General features: G+C 35.0%; 1 protein-coding gene across 11 annotated transcripts in view; it reads left to right on the forward strand.

The window, feature by feature from the left end:
• The window catches only part of EFR3A (EFR3 homolog A), a 109,550-nt gene that overhangs the window by 12,680 nt on the left and 75,947 nt on the right, over positions 1–20,923 (forward strand). For 2 of the 11 annotated variants that reach the window (XM_047421603.1, XM_047421604.1), the window contains exon 1: positions 1–20,044. The exons of 7 other annotated variants lie outside the window; for them this stretch is intronic. In XM_047421603.1, coding sequence (XP_047277559.1) covers positions 19,966–20,044 — 79 coding nt within the window. In that variant the 5' untranslated portion in view covers positions 1–19,965. The remainder of the gene's footprint in view (positions 20,045–20,923) is intronic. 2 more of the 11 variants (NM_001323557.2, NM_001323556.2) reach the window with 1 other exon arrangement.

Below are 20,923 nucleotides of genomic sequence, written 5' to 3' on the forward strand. Positions count from 1 at the left end.
AATGTAGCAAGAAGCAGAAACACTGGACAGTCTCTTACAGTTTGATCTGATATGATGACAATAAAGGTAATTTATGAAACAATTTTTTTTAAGCTTTAGGACTTAAGAACAATTGTTGTGTCTCAGCCGTGGCAGTTCTGTCCTATACGTCTGGCCTAAACTGTCTTTTCACAGCTTCCTAGCTGGGGGAGGTGATTGTCAAATTATAATTGGGTGAGAGGATGTAAACTGTAAATTGTGCAGTTTGCAAGTAGAAATTAGGGTGGCTCCACATATATAAGCTAAAATAAATAATATAGAACTAAACTGTTAGTAATTTATCAACCCATTGCCATCTTGAGAATCATAATGTGTATTTGTGAAACAACAGAATGATTTGCAGGCAGCAGATGTAATGCTTATGCAGAGTTGCTGGGAAACTGCTTTATTCACACAAGGAACTGAGGGACATTAGAGACGAGCTGTCACCTGAGAGTATCAGTCAGCTCTTGGAGTTTTCAGTAAGATTTCTTTCCCCTTATACAGCGAATACTGTTCTCCTTTCCTCCCCGTCGATTGGTTTCTCGGCATCTACTTGGTATGACACAGTAAACAGGCTCTATTCTCTGTTTTCAGCAACATAGAAATATTGTTCAGCCTGTCCTGATGGAGTACAGCAACCTGCTGATTAAGGGATTAACAATTTTAAAAGTATTTTGTACAGTGGTTCAGGGAAGATTAGAGAGGGTTGAGTATAATTGTGGTTTGGATGCTTTGCTTTTGCCAAAATTGGCAGTTGTTTCAACCATTCTTAATATTTTCATCTAAAATTGCACAGTAATTAAACCCTGCTAAACACTTTTAAGTATTTGCATAGAGGTGAGATAATGTTCTATTGATTCTTTTAATTTGTAAGAGTAGATTAAGTTTATCTTTATAGTTGCAGTAATAAAATGAATTATACAAATATATACAGAATTCCAGGTTCTTTGTGTATAATGCTACAGAAAAACTGGTTGGTTTGTTTTTTTTCCATGCGTCAGTAGTAGTAACCCTTATCTTTGAACTTGAGGTAATTTTGTCAGTTGGTAATACATTGAATTCTTAGGGTAGCATCAGATTTTGGTTTATGAGCCATTTAAGAATATTGATTAGAAAAGATTTGATTTTCTTCTTAGAGGCATATGATTAACATAAAAATACCTTGTTAATGTTGTGACCACAGTGTGTGTTTGTGATAAATTAAAAGAATAGGGGCCTGGCACAGTGGCTCACTCCTGTAATCCTAGCACTTTGGAAGGCAGAGACGGGCAGATCACGAGGTCAAGAGGTTGAGACAAGCCTGACCAACATGGTGAAACCCCATCTCTACTAAAAATGCAAAAATTAGCTGGGCGTGGTGGCGCATGCCTGCAATTCCAGCTACTCAGGAGGCTGAAGCAGGAGAATCGCATGAACCCGGAAGGTGGAGGTTGCAGTGAGTTGAGATCGCACCACTGCACTCCAGCCTGGGTGACAGAGCAAGACTCTGTCTCAACAACAACAACAACAACAAAGAATAGGTTAAAATTTAAAGAAGTCTTAGGCTTTTGACTTTGTGTTACTATAATTTCATGTATAGAGTGAATATAAAATGTTTAAGGTTTCTTGGTTTTAGTTGGAAGATTGGAGAGAATATATCAGGCATTGAACTTTGAATGCTTAAATTAGTAGAATAATTTTTTAATTGAACATTTTACTTAACTAGTCCTGCTCAGCAAATCCTGTGTTATATGTTGCTATCTTCAAATGTTGGATAGAGAAATTACTTAAAATATATATTTTATTTAGATATGTAATTAGACTGCTACTTGTCTTTTCAGTTACTGTTTAATCAGAAAATGTAATCATCTCAATTCAAATGAAAATCTCTAACATATGGCATAGATGCTGTGGGTGTTATGGAATCTATAAGAAGAATCAATGCTGTTGGTATATTAAATGTATTTCCTCTAAAAATAATTTTGGAAGTTACAAACACTCCTACAGATTTAACACTTTTGTTGCTCTGTGACTAATGAGGAAATAAAATTTTTTAAAAAATTTAAGTAGTTAGGGTTTTAAAGCTGTTTTAAATTTTGCCTGAGATAACTCATATCCTATTTGTGAATTACTTAGAGGACTTTTAATTAAAGTAACTCAAACCAACTTGGTTAGCTAAGAAAGATCCTAGTCATTGCCTGTGATAGATTCTTTATGCTCATAATGGTAACAAACTAATATTTTTTGATTTAGGGGTTTTCCTAAACTATGGTGCCTTACTTTGTTTAAGCAGACACTGTCCTTTGTCAGTGATTTTTTTTTTTTTAAAGCTTAGCTAAAAATCTGCAGAAAGCCCCAAACCTATCTTTTTTCCCCCCATATTCAGCTTTTCATTTTGGACAATAGGCTAGTAGAATTTTAAACTGTGACCTTAGTATTACTAATGCATATTAAGGTCACAGTAAGTATACCGAAGGAAATGATTGATTTTTAAAGCAGCTTTATTGAGATATAATTTGCATACCATAAAATTTACCTGTTTTGGCCGGGTGCAGTGGCTCATGCCTGTAATCCCAGCACTTTGGGCGGTCGAGGCGGGTGGATCACAAGGTCAGGAAACAGAGACCATCCTGGCTAACACAGTGAAACCCCGTCTCTACTAAAAATACAAAAAATTAGCCGGGTATGGTGGCGGGCGCCCACTACTCAGCTACTCAGGAGGCTGAGGCAGGAGAATGGCGTGAGCTCAGGAGGCGGAGCTTGCAGTGAGCTGAGATTGCGCCACTGCACTCCAGCCTGGGCGACAGAGCAAGACTCCGTCTCAAAAAAAAAAAAAAAAAAAAAAATTTACCTGTTTTAACGGTATGAGGAAACTTGATTTTTACATTAAACAAAATCCCTGGGAAATCACCTGGACAGATACTTTTAACAAATGTGAATTTTCAGATGCTCCATCTTTTCTTCTCCCTAGATTTTGGTTCATTAGGACTCAAACTTTAGTAAGTATTAGGAGACTTGTGAAAACGAAAGACTCTGAAATCCCAGTTCTTTTTAACTTTTTAATTGTAAGGAAGATACATTTATTTCTGGATTTTATATATATGTATATATATATTATATTTAAGTTTAAAAACCTGAAAGCTTCCAGTATCAGATTACTGTAGTGACAAGCATTTTAATATGTGCAGGAAAGAGTAAAAAGTAAAGACTTTTCTGCATGCTGAAGTTACAGTACAGCAGAGGATTCTCACCTTAGTTTTACAAAATAAAAAGGGGCCTTAGCTTCAAAACTGGATTTTGCTTGGGGATGGATTTGCTGCTAGAATTTTGTGAAAGATTATGTAAAAATATTTCCATTATTTTCCTTGTCAGTTTTGGGACACTTGTGCCGGAGTGCTTTGTTATTGTAAGCTGAAACTTCAGTGCACAGTGCACTGTGGGTGGAAAAGCTTTAAGACATTCTAGACCCTAAGCAGCAATGGCCATTTTGCTGTGAGTTTGTAAAGTAAAAACGTTCTCTCCCCCTTTTCCTAAGATGTGCATGTAGCAAGGATGGCAAAGTCCTCCCTGTAGCTCTTGCTTGTGGTCTTGGTATGCAGGGAGTTTACCAGGAACTTCTTATGTAGACCCTCTAACAGCATAAAAGGCTTCTTTTTTCTTTCTCACATGTTCTTGTATTCTTAGGGACATTTTTTAGCTCAGAGTAACCTATGATAGGAAAAGAAGATAACTTCTAGAAGTGGTAAGTTTTGTAATATGACAGATTCTCAAGCAGGATGTCGCTTCCCCATTCTGTACCATCTGACTTAAGTTTTGTACGTCTGGAGAGCAGTGGCAGTAATTGTATAATTTTTTGGCAGCTGCACAATGTTTTGACGACGTTGCTTTAGTCTCCAAAGTAGACAGTTCAGATTTTTTTTTTTTTTCAAAAAGAACTTTCTCAGAAAGGCAGTATAGTGTATAGTGTTGAGAGTACAGGCTTAGAGGCCCTTAACGAGATCCATGCTCCATGCTTCTCGTTGTATGGTCTTGGGGATATTATTGTCTTTCTGATTCTCTATTTGTAAAGTGTAAATAACAATACCTACCTCATAGGGTCATTCTGAGGATTAAATAAGACCAAACCTAGAATTTAGTGGACACTCAAATATTTGGTAAATACATTTTGAAAGAATCAGACTAGTAGATGAGGGATAGATAGGAGCAGGGAATTCTTGGAGTAGATTGGATCTTGTTGCCATTTGGTTAAGTCTTCTGATTTTCCATTGTATTTGCACAATATCCATGAAGCCAGATTTTGTGCTTTTGAAAAACACTTGGATTAGAATTTGGTGTATTAGTTTGCTGAGCTGTTGTAACAAAGTGCAACCAACTGGATGATTTCTACAACAGATATTTATTGTCTCACTATTCTGGAGGGTAGACCTCTGAAATCAAGGTGTTGGCAGGGTGGGTTCTTTGTGAGGGCTGTGAAGGAAGGATCTGTTCCAGGCATCTCCCTGGCTTTTATATAGCCATCTATCTGGAGTTCTGACTGTATGTGTGTCTGTCTCTAAATTTTTCCTTTTTATAAGAATACTAGTCGTATTGGATTAGGACCTACCCCAATGGCCCTATCCTAACTTGATTACTACTGCAAAGACCCCCCTCTCTCTAGATATGGTCACTTTCTGAGGCACTGGAAATTATGACTTTAACATATGAATTTTGAAGGGACACAATTTAATCCATAACAGAGGTATATCAGACATGAGAATGAAACAGACTTTTACTTACAACATTTTCATTTTTTTAATTGTGCGTATTTATTAAACTTTGATGTAAATTAATGGTATAATCTTTTTTTCTTTTACTGAGCCCAGACATTCATTTACCTAAACTTAAGTGAAGTGTATGTGGCACTTGAAAAAGATTGGTAAAATTGAACAAAAATTCCTTATTTCCTTGTCTTAGTTATTTTGTATGTTACTATTGAGATGAGGGAGGAATGTTTGAGTTTGAGTGACTGAAATATCAAGGGAGGAGTTAAATTCTCTGGAGGCTGACCTGAAGTCATTTTGGCATTTAAACTGGTTTCAGAATGGTACATATCTACTAAATATAGAATTTACTGGTGTACATGTTGTACGAAATCTTATGTGTATTAGTTTTCTAGGGCTACCGTAACAAGGTAGCACAAACTGGGTGGCTTAAGACAACAGAATATTTTTCTCTCACAGTTCTGGAGTCCAGAAATTCAAAACCAAGGTTTGGGCAGGATCATGCTTCTGAAGGCTCTAGGGAAGAATACTTCTTTGCCTCTTTTAGCTTCTGGTATTTACTGTAGTCCTTGGAGTTCCTTGGCTTGTGGCAAAATAATTCCAATCTCTTCCGCTGTCTTCATGCAGCCTTCTTGTGTGTATCCATATCTTTCTTTTTTCTTATAAGGATACCAGTCATTGAATTTAGGGCTTACCCTAATCCAGTATGACCTCATCTTGATTATATCTGCAAAGACCCCATTTCGAAATAAAGTCACAATGGCAGGTATAGGTTGAATATTCCTAACCCGAAAATCTAAAATGCCCCCAAATTTGAAACTTTTGAGCTCCTTTTTGAGCACTCAAAAGAAATGCTCTTTGGAGCAATTTGAATGTCAGATTTTTTTATTAGGGATACTCAACTAGTATGTATTCTACAAGTACCCTTAAATTAAAAAAAAATTAAAAATCTGAAACACTTCTGGTCTCAAGCATTTTTGATAAGGTTAATTCAACCTTTACTGGGGTTAGGACTTAAACATATTGTTTTGGGGAACATAATTCAACCCACAACACTTGTCCATTGCTTCTTAAAATCACATTTACTGTTAATTTCTCTCTTAAATTCTCCAGTTATTCTGACTAGTAAATGGACAGCCTTGTTTCCACACATTAATGTACTTGAGTGTGACAGCTGAGAACTCTCCCACTTTCCTGCATGTTAACCTATTGCCTTGGTTTTCCAGCTACATAATCATGCTTTCACTCTTTGTCCTTCTGTTTCAGCAGTTTGTTGGAAATTCTTAGATTGGTTTTGGTTTCTTGTTGTCTTTACCAACTCAGTGTCATAAGTTGTATTTAAAATTGTTGAACTTTCTGTTTTATAACTTACAGTAGATTTTATCTCCAGGAACTTTTTTGTAATTGGAATGCATATTGACTTACTACTGAATGCTTATTACTAATAACACTTTCTATTGAGACAACAATGTTCTCCGCAGAATGAATGGTATGAGCACATGCATTGGAATGAAAACATTTGAGACTTGATTTGAAAGCTGTATTCACAGGTTTTGCTGTGAAAAATGTTATGCTTTATTGGGAAGTAATGCTGAAAAGGTAGAGATTATGCATAGGTTCACCTCCAAGACCGGCCTGTCAATGAAGCATAAATAAATTGGGGAGATCGTTATTTCGGCAAAGTATTATGTGGCTTTACTGTTTAAAATATGTTGGCATGTGTGTGTATAAAGCTAAAATAAGCCATTGATCATGTATACTTTTTAAAATAAGTGATTTGAGTTTTTGTGGGTATGCACTGAAGGAACTATCTTTTAAATTGTTTAATTGTGGATACTATATTATCTTTTCTATTCTCAATATTTGTGACATATAATAAAATGTTTTGTACTCATTCTTTCTAATGTGTTCATTTTGCTCTGTATAAACTTCACGGCCTTTAAAAAGGCATCTGGGAAAATGTCAGGGTGTTTTTTTTTTTTTTTTTTGACAAATTGGAAATGCCACATTCAGATGACTTCTTAGGAAGAATAAAATGTTGTTATTCTGAGTCTAGGTTTGAACTTTAAAGATTCATCTCATTTTAGTATAAAGTGTTTTATTTACCAAGAACTTCAGTAGGCTTTCTTGTCACCTGAATGGCAAGTTAATTCAGAAGGAACGTATCAAAATAATAAAATGAGAAAAGTTAGGAACCAGCATTAGCTGAGTCACAATCCCCTGCTTAACCTTATTTGCCAGTGCGCACTCAGAAGAACTGCTTCTTACCAAAACATCTGTCTCTTCAGCTTTCAGTAGGAAGCAGTGTCCTTTGGCTTACAAAGAAGTGGTAACAGAACTAAGCGAAGATGAATGAAACAGTTTGAAATTGGCATTGGTAGATTTAGTTTCTTTTTTTAAGCAATTAAAAGCCCGCAGCACTGTGATTGGCATTTTTGACGTTTAGCTTGTGCTACTTAGTATCAGAGACTTAGTATCAGGGACTTATCAGTAAGTCCCTGATACTTACTGTAATTGCTGTATCTTGCTAAGACCTGCTGTTTAGATATTTCTTAGGTCATAAAATGAATGCTTATTAGATTGTTTCTTGTGAGAACTAAGGACCAATGTAGAGATCATTTATTACCAGAGTATGATTATTAGCATTTTATGCCAAAGGAATTATTTCTGCATACCCCATTCAGCATTTTTATATACTGAGAAATAACATTAATAAATATCTAATTATTTGTCCTTGACTCGGCATTTTTCTTCATAGTTGTTAATATAATTAATTTTTTCACCAAGTAATTTTTTTATCCTTTGACACGTGAAAAGACTAATCATATAATTACAGTGTTTTCATCATGCTACTGCCCTACTCTAACATTTTGAGTTGTTTACAGTGCTTACAGAGTCCAGGCTTAACATCCATATATATGTACAAGGTTGTCTAAAGTTTTGAGGAGAGACAAGTATATATTGGCATTATATGCTTGTACAGCTACTGCTAACTTATCTTTCTGATTCTTCTCTAAGGCCCCAGAGCTAAATCTGCAGTTCAGCTGGGTTAGTCATTTTATTACTCCAGAACATCCTGTTTCCCTCAGCCTTTCTGGAATACTCTGTTCCCTCTGTTCATTTTCTTCCTTTCTTCAAAGGCTAGCTCAAAGCTCAGATTTCTTGAAAGGAGAAACTTGTCCTAATCAGTCCAACTCAGAAAAGTCTTTTCATCTTCTGGTCTGTAAGAAATAGTCGGTTCTACTCATTTCGTGTTCATGCTTGGCTGAGCTCGTCTTTTACATCTTCTAAGAAGCTTTTCTAGACTTCGATTTTTCTCATTTCTCTTATATTTTATTTATATTGTTTATAGGTGGGTCCTTCTATTCTTTCAAGCATGTAAGTTCTTGTTAGATAATATTTTCCATTAAGGTTTTTTTCTTTATCTTCCACAGTACCTTATATACTACTTTCAACAAAAATTAGTTAATGTTTGTTTGCATTTGAGTTGGAATGTCATGTGCTTGATAGAATGAACCTTAGTCTTAGTTCCTTAGTCTAACCTCTGGTTTCTTAGTCTTAGTTCCTTAGTCTAACCTCTGGTTTGAGTCTCAGGAATATATTTACATCCAGGTTTGGTCCTTTGAAGATATCACAGACTAGTCCCTTTTTCACATGATGTCCTTTAAATATTTGAGTAATATCTGATATTTTAACATTTACTATGTGATACATCCTGTGCTAAGCATTTTGTAACTAAAATAATGAAGATTTTTGTTATGCATTATAAATTGTTCTTAGTAGCCTTCAAATACACCACAATCTGTGCAGTTAGTTAAATTCAACAGCAGTTCATTTTTGCAGAATCTGTGAAGTGGGGCAAAACGTCCTTCAATTATCAGTAAGTTACCTACTTAGCTCTTGCAGGCAGGTAATGCATTGCACTCCATTTCCAATCAATAATATGTGATGAGCATCCAGAGAATTATATAAAAATGATTATGAAGAAATTATCTTGATTTGATTTGAGGACATTAAATATGAAAACACAAAAGCATAAAAATGATACAAATATACTGGCTTCTGCAAAAATCTGAATGAGGAAGTTCTTAGTAATATGTTTCCTGTGGCAGAGGGAAGTAATTTTTTTTTTAATAAGGTCTTCTCTCCCTGAAGACCTGATTATAATTTTTAAAAGATAACTCTTAATGCTATATTAAGTATAGTGAGTGCTTTTAGGTAAAGTTGCCTTAAATTGGGTTTTAGTAGAAAGATCTTCTACCTGTACTTTGTCCCTGATCCTGTGTTTTCCTTCACAGTTGTTAAAATAATTATCCCCCTCCCAAATTTTGCTAAGGCCTAAAACAGAACAGTAGTGTATACAATAATGAATATGCCAGGCTAATGTTGGTATTCATTGTGGCTAGATTATTTTATTTTAATGTTATTATTTTTTTTTGAGTTTTAAAATAAATGCAACAAGGTCAGTAATCACACTGTCAAGGCTAAAGCCAGATCAGTCAGTGAATAAAATAGTTAAAATCTATTATAGGGTTATAGTTGATTATTAGCTTTATTGTGTTGTAAGACTAGATAAAAAAAAGACTAGAAGACTAGCTTCATGTTATAAAAATTATAAACAATATACTTCAAATATTAATATGAATTGCTGTCTCAAAGGCTAATTCATTGATCAAGAAATGCAATATATTAGTCACAGAGTTTCAGAATATATTATGGTGACTTTAAAAAACCATTTTTATTGTCTGTGATTTCAAATTTAACTTCTTTGTAAACATCTGTGATGTACTATATAGTTAAAATTAACAGACTGAAATTATTACTTTTTTGGGTGTAAAAATAGCACATTTTAAACACCAGAACTACATCAAAAATGATGAAATTGAAGAAATAAAAAAAATTTGTATCTTCTTATTTCGTGTGGTCAAAGCTTTATTGTGGCACAGTGATGCAAAATGACCTATAATGGCATATGGGGGTGCTAGATACTAAAAATTACATTTTAAGATATATGTCTGCTTACTGCCAAAACTTATTTACTTTATAGCTCAGGAAACACACCTGTAAGTTGTTTTTTTAAAAAAAAATTTTGGAGGGTATTTTTTGAGAAAGGATCTTGCTCTGTTGCTCAGGCTGGAGTGCAGTGGCATGATTGTAGCTCACTGCAACCTCAGTCTCCTGGGCTCAGGTGATACTCCCTCCTTAGCCTCCCGAGTAACTGAGGCTATGAATGTGTGCCACCGTGTCCAGCTAGTTTTTATGATAATCAGTTTAAACTTTCTATGTACTTTAAGTGTGGGAGTCAAATGCTGTTAGTTTTCATTTTTTATTATAGCATTTTGACTATAACTGATTGCAACTTATAAAATGATTAATATTTTAGTCTAATATATTAGAGAGGACTTCACATTTCCAAGGTTGCATTTTTCTTTCACGGAGGGGAAAGATGTTCATTGTAGCTGTGGACTTTCTTAGCAGTCATTTCTGGATTCCTTCTCAATGTAACATTTCACCCTGTGAGTCTTTCAGAAATGAATAAACCACAGCTCTGCCCTTGAGGAGCTTATAGACCTCTGAGAAAAATAGATCAATAAGTTATTAACCCAAATGGTAATGGTTGTGGCAGCAGAGAGAGTAGCACCTGCCTAGCTTTAGGTCGTGGTTAAGGACAACTTGAAGAATAATGCTGGGCTGAGGCTGGGAGGTAAGTTAGCTGAAGACAGGGACAACATGAGCAGAAGCCTGGCCTATTCTTCATACATGTTAGTTTGCCACTGCCTTTTTTTGTAGTGTGGCAGACAACATTGCCTATTTGCTCAGTATCCAAGCTATCAGATTATTAAGCAAAAGTACTAAATGCAGAGCTTTGTGGCAGTGACTGGAAATCTTCCTCTAGGTTACTGTTCCCCAAACTTGAGAACTCTGACCATTAAAGTGTTGTCACACCCTACATCAAAAAATTGCTGCATGAAAAGTTAAATATTATTATTTTAGGTGATTATTTGGTGCTAATATGATTTTAGACACGGAAGTGAACATGGGCAGCAAAGTCGGTATAGTATTACATGGTTATAAGGTGGTCATACATATACTCATATACAAAATGAAATGGTTTTTAGCAAGAGCTTTTTTTAGGAACCATAACGTGTGTGCCAATCAGTTACCAGCTATCTGTTAATTTTTTGGCATTGAGTTTATTCATTTACAATTTACAACTTCTTTTGTCTCTTCACTTACTGGAAATTGAATTATCGTTTATTATTTTAGAAAAAAAACCAAAAAGTTAAAAAGTGAGAGTATAAAAAGATGAATGAGAAGAGCCCTTCCCTTATGAAACTACCCGGAAACAAGTTAAAGAACAGATATAGATGTGATGAACTGTGAAAGCCTTGCAAATTCCCATCCTTTTAGAACTTCCTGTTCATCATGATTTTGCAAGCATTGATAGTAATTCTGCAGCTATAATCTTAAAATTGTCTTCTGACAATGGAAAATAAAATCTGACAACTATAATTTTTTGAATTTTAGTCTTTCTAGTTTGGGAACTTCTTGAAGACATACATGTTGCATTCCTGGCACTTTGCGTGTAGTTAAGTACCTTATAAACCTAATTGATTGGTTGACTAGTCATGAAATACTTAAAATGTTCTTTGAATGTCTCTCCTGGAAGAATGCTTCAAATGTGGAACTTCTGTTACTGTGTGTATTATAAGAATAAGATAGTTGCCCAATTCTTGATCCTGTTAGAAGAAATCTCTGCTTTTCTTATACGTTCGACATTAAATGCTAAATGAAGGGTGGGGTTTCTGCAGACATTATACAATTTTTTTCTTCAGACATTTATCATCAGATTTTCCTTTTGTTGTTATTCTGATCAATTATTTTATCCTACAGCATTTACTAGAAATTATAAAATGTAATCTTAAATTCTGTATTTTAGATAGCAGACTTTTATCTTGCCAAAAGCTGATTAAAGTAGCAATAAATTAGTAAATCCTCATAAAGGAAATTTCTTATTACCTAAATAATAAGTTATAATCTTGTTGTAAACTATGTTATCAGTTTCTCCTTTTTCCATGTCAGATGTGGTCTATAGAACAATGATTTTCAGTCTGGATATTCTGAAACTGCCACTGTTGTGATTTATTTTGGTCACAATATTTAGTCCATCTTGAAATTTTAAATTACATTATTGTAAAATCATGTTTTCCTTTTTACTTGCATTTAAAATATTCTTAATTTCTTTTTCTGATGTTTCCTCATTACTGGAGCGTTTTTTTAAAGTCCATGTATCTTATCTCTATAATTGGTACCTTTGTAAAAAGTACAGTATTTGAAAAATTATTCTTTGCATTTTCTAACACAATCCTTTTGTAATTTTCTTTCTGTTTATTCAGAGGTCTTCTCTTTCTGCTCTTATTGTGCTGATCATCCCTTAAATGTTTTCTTACCTCAGGATTCTCTAAGTCTCCTATTTGCCTTCAGTGATCTCAGCAGATTTGCTTTTGCTATCACTTAAATGCTTTTGGTTTTTAAATTTGTTTCTAGTTTAGATCAATTGTCTGCTACAGGATATCCCACCTTCAAGTTTACCTCAAATTTAATATGTGCAAAACAGAATTCATTCTCTCTTCTTGATATCCTCCTTTTACCCCAGAGTGTATCCTCTTGTGTTCCTTGTTGGTCAGTGACACTAGCATCCAACCAGTTGTCCAAACTTTCCTGTCTCTTCCTCTTTACCTTCTATACTCAGTTGTTTCCAAGTCAGCTTCCTGCAAGTTTGCCTAGGCATTTTTCTCATGTTGCAGAACTTTATGCTTACTTTCAAATTAAAACCACATTGTTTAAACCTCTTAAGAGCCTTAATAGATGTGGCTCCCTTTGCCTGGGAATAATAATCCTCTCCTCTTTGCCTAATTTCTACTTTTTCTTCAAGACTTAATTTAGTCATTACTTCTTGCAGAAAGGTTTGTTATCCCATTAGCTATTATCTCATAGCAACCTGTGATAGTTGTTATCACAGAGATAATTCTTTCTGTATGTGATTATCTTTTCCCACCAGACTACGAGCTACTAAATGGCCAGGGATTGTGGCCTGTATTTGTATTCCCTACATTTAGTTTAGTGCCTAGGGCATGGTAGGCTTCACTAAATGATTGTTAAAAGAATACATGAGATTGGGTATTGTTTTTCCCATTTATGTATATTTCTGAGGCACATTTGTTTTTTGGTTTTCAGAGGGTAGCAGTTTCACCTGTGTCCCTCTCTGAGTTGAGAACCAACTGAAATACAGAAATATAAGAGTCAGTTTGAAGCAAGTCAAAATACCAGTTTTACTACTAGTAAAGCTGGGTTGGAGAATGCATCTTGATCTTTGTCCATTATCAGTCTTTCTGTTACTTTTCCTCCAAATCTAAACTTTCCAATGATGTATCTGAGGGACACCCCAAGTTAGCAGAGCAAACACATTGACCAAGCCTTTTGCAAGGAAGGCACATTGATTCAAACTGCCCTATAACTCCATGGAGATCATGTAAAGATACACACTTCCAGACCCAGGTATGCTTATAAGCAGGAAGAATGAATTGCAGACTGCACATCTGAAGGAGAAACTCTTAAGAGTTTGTTTATTCATTCATTTAACAAATAGATATTGAGCTCTTACCATGTGCTGGATGGACATTGTGCAGATGGTGCAGATATAGATTTGGTGCTTATGTTTTAGAGCCTACTAGGTTCCTTTTTTCCAGACTGACGAGTAAAATAAGTCACTTTTCCTCTTATAGCAGAAGTCTTCTCTAGGGAAGATAGGAACAGATGAATAGAATAGTTTATCCAAAGGTATAACCTGTTCTCTAGCCATTGCATGTAAAATAATTCCCAAGGACTGATAATTTTAAGAACACGGTGGAATGAAATACAGAGAAACATATCAGCACAATCTTAAGAGAAATTTCAAAGGTCTGGTCATGTTTTAGAAAAACGTGGAAAATTTGATCATGATAATTTCACTTTTCCTTTACTATACTTGAAATACTTGGCTTAGGATTTTAAAGACCATTTAGTCATGATTTATTTCTGACATGAGTCTGCTAAGTATTCATTTATACAAGTTACTTAGAAAATCTACTCCCTAATGAGGTCTGGTGGCAGCATTTGAAAATAATGGGGAAATTCTAGTGGTCTTAGCCACAAATACCAGCTCCCTGTTGCCAGTGATAGGTCTTTATCACATCAGCATCTCCTGTGAAGTCTTTTCTGAATGTCATAGCATTCATTATTTTTCTCACTCATTTGGTCTCCTGGTTCTTTATAGTGCTATTTATGATTCAGTTATTGTAATATATAAGATGATCTTACGAGGTGCAGCCTATATTATAACTTATCTATTGCATAACTTAGGTAAGGACAGTTTCCCGAATACCTGAAGTACACAATAAGAAAAAGTCATATGCTAAATTCTCTACATCATTATACAAGGGGAGTGGTTCTCTAGAGCAATGGCTCCCGAATGAACGTGGGTGTGCATGAGGGCCATGGTGGGAGGGGGAGGCTTATTTTTAGAAAGAAGAATTCTGGTATGCCATCCCAGGGATTGATTCAGAAAGTCCTGGGTTGGGGGCAGGGAGTATTCACTTTTAAAAGTAATCTAGGAGATTCTTCTTCAGAGGGCTCATAGGCCACCCTTAGAGAAGCATTGTACTATGGAAACATAGTTCGCTTTGATTGTATTTATTCCAAGGCAACCTTGTACAATTAAAGAATAAATACAAACAGTAAGAGAAGATTTTTATGAATGTTGATTTTGTTAGGGAGTTAGAAGTTGTGGTAATTGTTTCTTAGAGATGTGTTAATGTTAAACGTTTGATAGATAAATCAGTATAATTAGGTATATATAGTTATACCCCAAGACTGAGGGTAAATCCAGTCATTTTCTATTGTTACTATTTTGTTTGCATCTAGCTTTGTTTTTAGTAAAAGAACTATATATTTTGTTTTCTGTAATGTTGATTTCTTACAATCTCAATATATATTAGACTGCTTAATATCAGGAACCAGTTGTATGAATATTTGCAAATTTCACAATGCCTTATATGTAGTAGACATTTTATAAAACATTTTCATTACAAATGTTGAGTAAATGAGCTTTCTATAAAAATTGTTGCATTATTTGATACATGGTAAGTATTATAGTTATTATATATGAAAAAAAACCAGCTAACATCTTAGGGTTTTTCATTTGTTTTACTGGTCTTCTATGTTTCTTTTTGTCTTCATCTTTTTCTGCCCTGACTGGATTCTTGCTGCTTTTCTTCATTTTGCAGTTGTAGCTGAAAATTTGACTATTTGATACCTTTAGACATGTTCCAATACGCAGGAGAATAAGTAGGATTATCCTGGCTCCTGGTTTGCCTAGGATGGTCAAAGTTTATGCCACTGGTCCTGGCATAATTAATGATAGCACCCCCCAGCCACTCTCAAAATGCCAAATTATATAAATTCCTTTGAAGCTTGAAACCATGTAAATAAGTGATTTGCAAGTTGAGTTCTTGCCTTCACATATTCTTGCCACAATCCCATTTTTTGTTGTACTAATGTTATTGGTTCTTTCTGTATTTTGATTTCTAATTGTGAGCATTTTTGAGACCCCCTAATTTGAGGTGTCTTTATTTTTTATGAGAATTTTTCTGTTTTGTATGTGGAATTTTTAATTTACCTTAATAGTATTTTTAAACTACAGAAGATTTTAGTTGTCTCAAAATAATTTGTTCTTTTAAAATGGTTTAGAAATGAGTGACAGACAGTTCCTGGGCCATTAGCTTATGTTCAAGCATTGATATAACAAAAGCAGTTTTCAAAAAGACATTTAACAATGTTCCTTGGTGTTCCATGAATATTTATTCAGGTTGTTAGAAGTCCTTTACAGGAAATATTTAGCTTATAAATAGGCTAATAAAGGGGAAGCTGTAAGTTCAGTTTCTTTTGTCCTCTTGGCATTAAAGGAAGCTGTTACCAGAAACACAGATCTCAGTTTTTAAGGTAAAATACTCCTATACATGTTAGCTAGCTTTGTTACTTTGTGTATTTACCAAGATTTTCTCTAAGACATGGAAGTAAGTTCCTATAGAAAGCTCCAAAGATATTGATTGATTGGTTGAAATACACTCTATAAATGGAAACTGTCTCCATAATGACTTTACCAATTGTTTCCCTACAAATATAGGGAAACACTTTATTTTTGCCAACAAGTGCTTTTGTTAGACTGCATTTTAGCAGGACTCTTAGAACATGTTAGTGCTTAGTACTATTATAAATTCACTCTCAGTTCCATTATAAATTGTGGATAGTCTGATTTGCCTTATGCCTTTCCTCTGTTTTTCTCCCTCTTAATCACGATCCCTAACATTTGTCTTAGACCACTACATAATTACTACACTCCTCTAAAACATATTAATTAGCAAAGTAAATTTCAATGTGATAGTACCATGGTTTGCATTAAAGAAGAAAGTCACTGCTTACATCTTTTTAAAAAAACAGTTACAACAATGAAAATGTTCTTTTTTTAATTCTAAGAGTACTACTGATATTGTAGAAGACATTAGCCAATCTTTTATATATTAAAAAAGGGAATCACATACTGTTTCAGTTTTTATTTTTGCATCATTTGATTACTTACCTCTGTAGATTGGGACACCGGGGCGGTATAGTCTTCTTGCCAAGACTCTTCCCCCTGAGCACATTGAAGATGGTCAGTGACATGTAGGGTCCAGGGACATGGTCTTGAAAATAGGAATGAACCATGCAGTGTTGTACAGTGGTGGGGCAGAGGTATGAGTACTTTTCTCTCCTGGTTGCAGCTTTGGTTTCTCTTTCATCCGTTGGGTTGTTTCCTATTTTGCAAACTAAGCCAGGATCAGATGAAATGAAAAGGGAATGATATCTGATTTTAATATTTGTGTTAATTTTTTTTCAAATGATGATTCTAGAAGCTTTTCGAATGAAATCTCTCAGAATAATATTTTCCAAAAGCTGGGATTATTCTGTATTTTATTGCTCTTGTCTTTGTGTAACTCTGCTGAGTAATATTTAATTTTTTTCCAATAAATATGATAATATACAGTAAAGTTAAATTGAAGTGTAAGTCTACAACATGATTACTAATAAGTAGGATAATGTCTAAAATTAAAACTTTTTAAATTAAAAATTGTAATAGTGGGAAAAAATCAGATATAAAGTATAAACCAGTTAGTTGCCTCAGGAAAAAAAGGTGCTGTTTTTTTTTTTCTACAGTTTCCCAGAATTGTTTGGAGAAGTGTACAAGAGTTTTGTCTGTGTTATGCCTATTATAGAGCAAAGTATTGCAATGTAAGGAGAAGACCATCTTTTAAAACAGAATTGGAGCTTTAATTCTATTTATTGCTTTGTTGTCCTCTTTTCCATAAGGTTTATGTGCCTAGGAATTAAAAACAAGTAGTGAAATTGAGAATGAAAGGAGAGAAGGTATACGATTATATGTGGAAAGAATCATGTAATAAAATACTCCTCTAATGGATTAAAATCCTTTTAAAAGGAACACTTTTCTGAAGATAAGATTATTTTGTTCCTTTCTTTTGACCCCATATCTAATTAGTCACCAAACTCTTTTCATGTTTTCCCACTTTTCTTTCAAAGCTCTGGGACACTAGAATATGCATTTTGTTTTTCCCATGTGCCGTCCTGCCTAGTGTTGCTTGCGTTGTTCCATTTGATTACAGTTGTCCTTCACTGTCTCTAGTTTATTCCTGTAGTTCAGTCTTACTTGTTCTTCACGGGAGTCCTCAGTATCCAGTTCGAGTTCCATGTCCTTGGTAAAACCTCTTTTCACTTTAGCCGCAAGTTGTTTTCTCTCTCCTCTGAACCTCTGTGGTGCTTACAGCTGTGCAGTCTATTTGACATTGGAGAGCCTTTGTCCTAAAATGTCCAAGGTTTGTTTTAAAACTTAATTTTTAAACTTTGTCTTTTAAAGTATGTAGTCACCTTTTTAAGTCCTTGTAGTTGTCATTTGAAGCATAGTTTGCTAAAATAACACCTATATTACAGGCTTTATAGATAATACATATGTGTATGTGTGTATATATATATAAAAATACAGAATTATATATAATACGTGTGTGTGTGTGTATATTGCTCTTTGGGTAGCTCTGTTGAGTAATTAATTTTTTTCTGATAAGTATGATAATATGCAGTACACAGACATATTTAGCTTTACTGCTGTGTATTACATATATGTGTATATACACACACATACACACATATTATATGTAAATTGTTTTGGTACCTGGAAAGGATATGTGTGAGTGGAACTGTAATATTGCTAAATATTTTTGATTGTATGAAGTAAATGTCTTGTTCTGACATCAACTGAATGAGTAACTGGACTTTTAATTTTAACCTTGGAGGGAATATATGTGAGGCAGACTCTTTTAAAGGGTTTTGGACACCACAGAGCTAGAGTTCTTGAAGTGGTTAATTTTAAAAATCTTCTAATAGAAAGTCTGTCTCTTTTCACCTTGATTACTGGTGGACTCTGCTAGACCTAAAAATAAAGCATGAATTGTTCAAAGTGATTCATTTGACATTGTCATCTGTTTGTTGGAAAAATCATATCATTCTGGCACTTATTTAGTGTTTTATGGTGGACAGTGTACTTTATTGATTTTTATAGCGTATAGGAGCAGATGTTAAACTCACTTTATATTTTGTTTCCTTATTTATTTAGGAAAAAGCATTTTTATAAATGTCTGCTTTATGCCTGACATGCATAACAATGAGTAAGATACATGGGCTTTGCATTTGAGGAATTCATATTCTGGTGGTGAAGACAGACACATATATGTAAACGAGCAGTAGATTGTTACAGGTGCTGTGATAGAAATATATAATGAGGGCATGAAGGACCAAAATCCAGTAATCGTAGGCACTGTCATTTAAAAGTATGAAATCTAGTGAGCCATACATATGTCAGTCAATTTCTATTATGTTACATGTGAGAATTAAATGAGAGAATTGCTACATAGAAGGTGTAGATACTATTATTGTATGCTTTTATAGATTATGAAACAAACTTAATTCAAAGCCATACAGTCAGTTTCCATAATATGAATACAATCTAAACATTCTTCATCTCCAGTGACAGTGTTACTAACTTAGTATTTTTGTTTTGGAGGATAGCTTTATCCCAAGTAGCCAGTGGCATGGTGGCAGTTAGTGGTGGAGACATCAATATTTCCAGTTAAATTATCATTGAATAGTATAGTCCCTTGAAAGTGGAAGTTGCTTATTTTTAAAGGGGTCTTTTTTTTTTTAATGATCCAAGTCCCCAAATTTATAGAGTTGCATAGGAAAGCAAATGTTATCTCAAACCAGAAGTACTCAGTGGTCAACCAACCACTTACAATATTGGTTCCCAGTATTCAGAATTCTCCTAGTACCTTTGAGTGCCTGCGTGCCTAATCCATACTATCAGTTTCACCTTGAGTTTCTCTATGCAGCTGCTCAAGTCCTTCTATGAATGCCTCTTTGAGACAGGATGGATTGGAAATTAGCTCTAATACCTCATTATTGAAGGAGGAGGATGTTTCCTCTTCTAGAGGTCAATTGGCATCACTACTGTTTAGGGACTAAGAGGCATTGCTGAATCTATATGAGAATGATGTTAGGGGAGCAAAGGAGAAGAATTTTCTTGCAGTGTTGAGTAGATAAAACAAACTGCTTGCTTCTTCTACTATACTGTCACAATACTTGAACACTTCTGTGAACAAATGTGTGGGAGATTTTCCCCAAGCACCGAGCTAGCAATTCCCCAGCTGGGTGTCCTCTGACGTAATTCAGTTCTTAGCAATATTTACATGGAGGTAGTGTCACAACCCACAGGTTGAGGGCTCTGTCCCACAGGACTGCCTCCCTCCGCCCCCCTCCCCTCCAGCACACACACACACTCACATACACACACACATGCTCTCTCTGTCTCTCTGTCTCTGTCTCTCTCTCAAGATGCCAGTTGGAAGCCCCAGGTTGTTTTACCTGTGCTTCTGCCAGCTATAAATCAGGATTCCCACACTCCCTCCTTGGGCTCAGCTAATTTGCTAGAGTGGCTCACAGAACTTAGGGAAATACTTTACTTACATTTACCAGTTTATTATAAAGGCTATTAAGAAGGAGACAGATGAACAGCCGGATGGAAAAGATGCATAGGTCCAAGTATGGGAGAAGGAGTGAGGAGCTTCCATATATATTTGCTCCAGGTAAGTCACCCTCCGGAAACTTCCATGTGTCCAGCCACCTGGAAGCCCATCCACACCCAGTCCTTTTCGGTTTTTTTATAGAGGCTTCACTATAAAGGCGCGATTGATTAAATCATTGGCCACCTGTAACCAACTTAACTATCAGCCCCTCCCGCATCCTTAGAGGTTAGGGGTTGTGGCTGAAAGTCCCCATCCTCTGGTCATGCCTTGGTCTTTACTGTGACTAACCCACACCAGAAGCTATCCTTGAGCCCCCAGCCATCAGTCAACTTATTAGTATACACAATGACACTTGGCACTTTGGAGAACCTAAGACTATCAGAAGCTATTTGTTAGGAAATGGGAAGACCAAATATATATTTCACAATATCACAGATGTCTTTAAAGAAATGTTACTTCAGGAGTATGTAAAATTTACTCATAAAAAAAGAGCTTATTAAGTGTGTTTAGGTGGCTTCTACACTCCAGGCACTTTTTATGTATTATTAATTTAATACCCTTAACTGTGAGAAGTAGGTAGTAGGATTTTCCTGTTCACTGACTAAGGCTCAGAGAGCTGTATTGAATAGATTACTTCTGAGCTTATGTGTACACTACTATAATATTCAGCCTGGCACTTTTTTGGTTATAATTTATCCACTGTGTCTGAATTCTATTTTCCCAAAGTTATCCCACTTGAGCCTTCCTATTTCATATTCTTCTAGTGTATCATAATCAGAGTTCTGAATTCCACATGCTGTAGGAGGAGAATAGTGGATAGTTTTCTCTTTTATGTGCTGGAATTAATTTATTTTTACTGATAATAGTATTTATTGAATATTTCCTAGGTGACAAACACCGCAAAGGCACTAGACATACAATTGGGGAAAAGAACTACAA

This window comes from Homo sapiens, chromosome 8 (assembly GCF_000001405.40).
Source record: "Homo sapiens chromosome 8, GRCh38.p14 Primary Assembly".
NCBI lineage: Eukaryota > Metazoa > Chordata > Mammalia > Primates > Hominidae > Homo > Homo sapiens.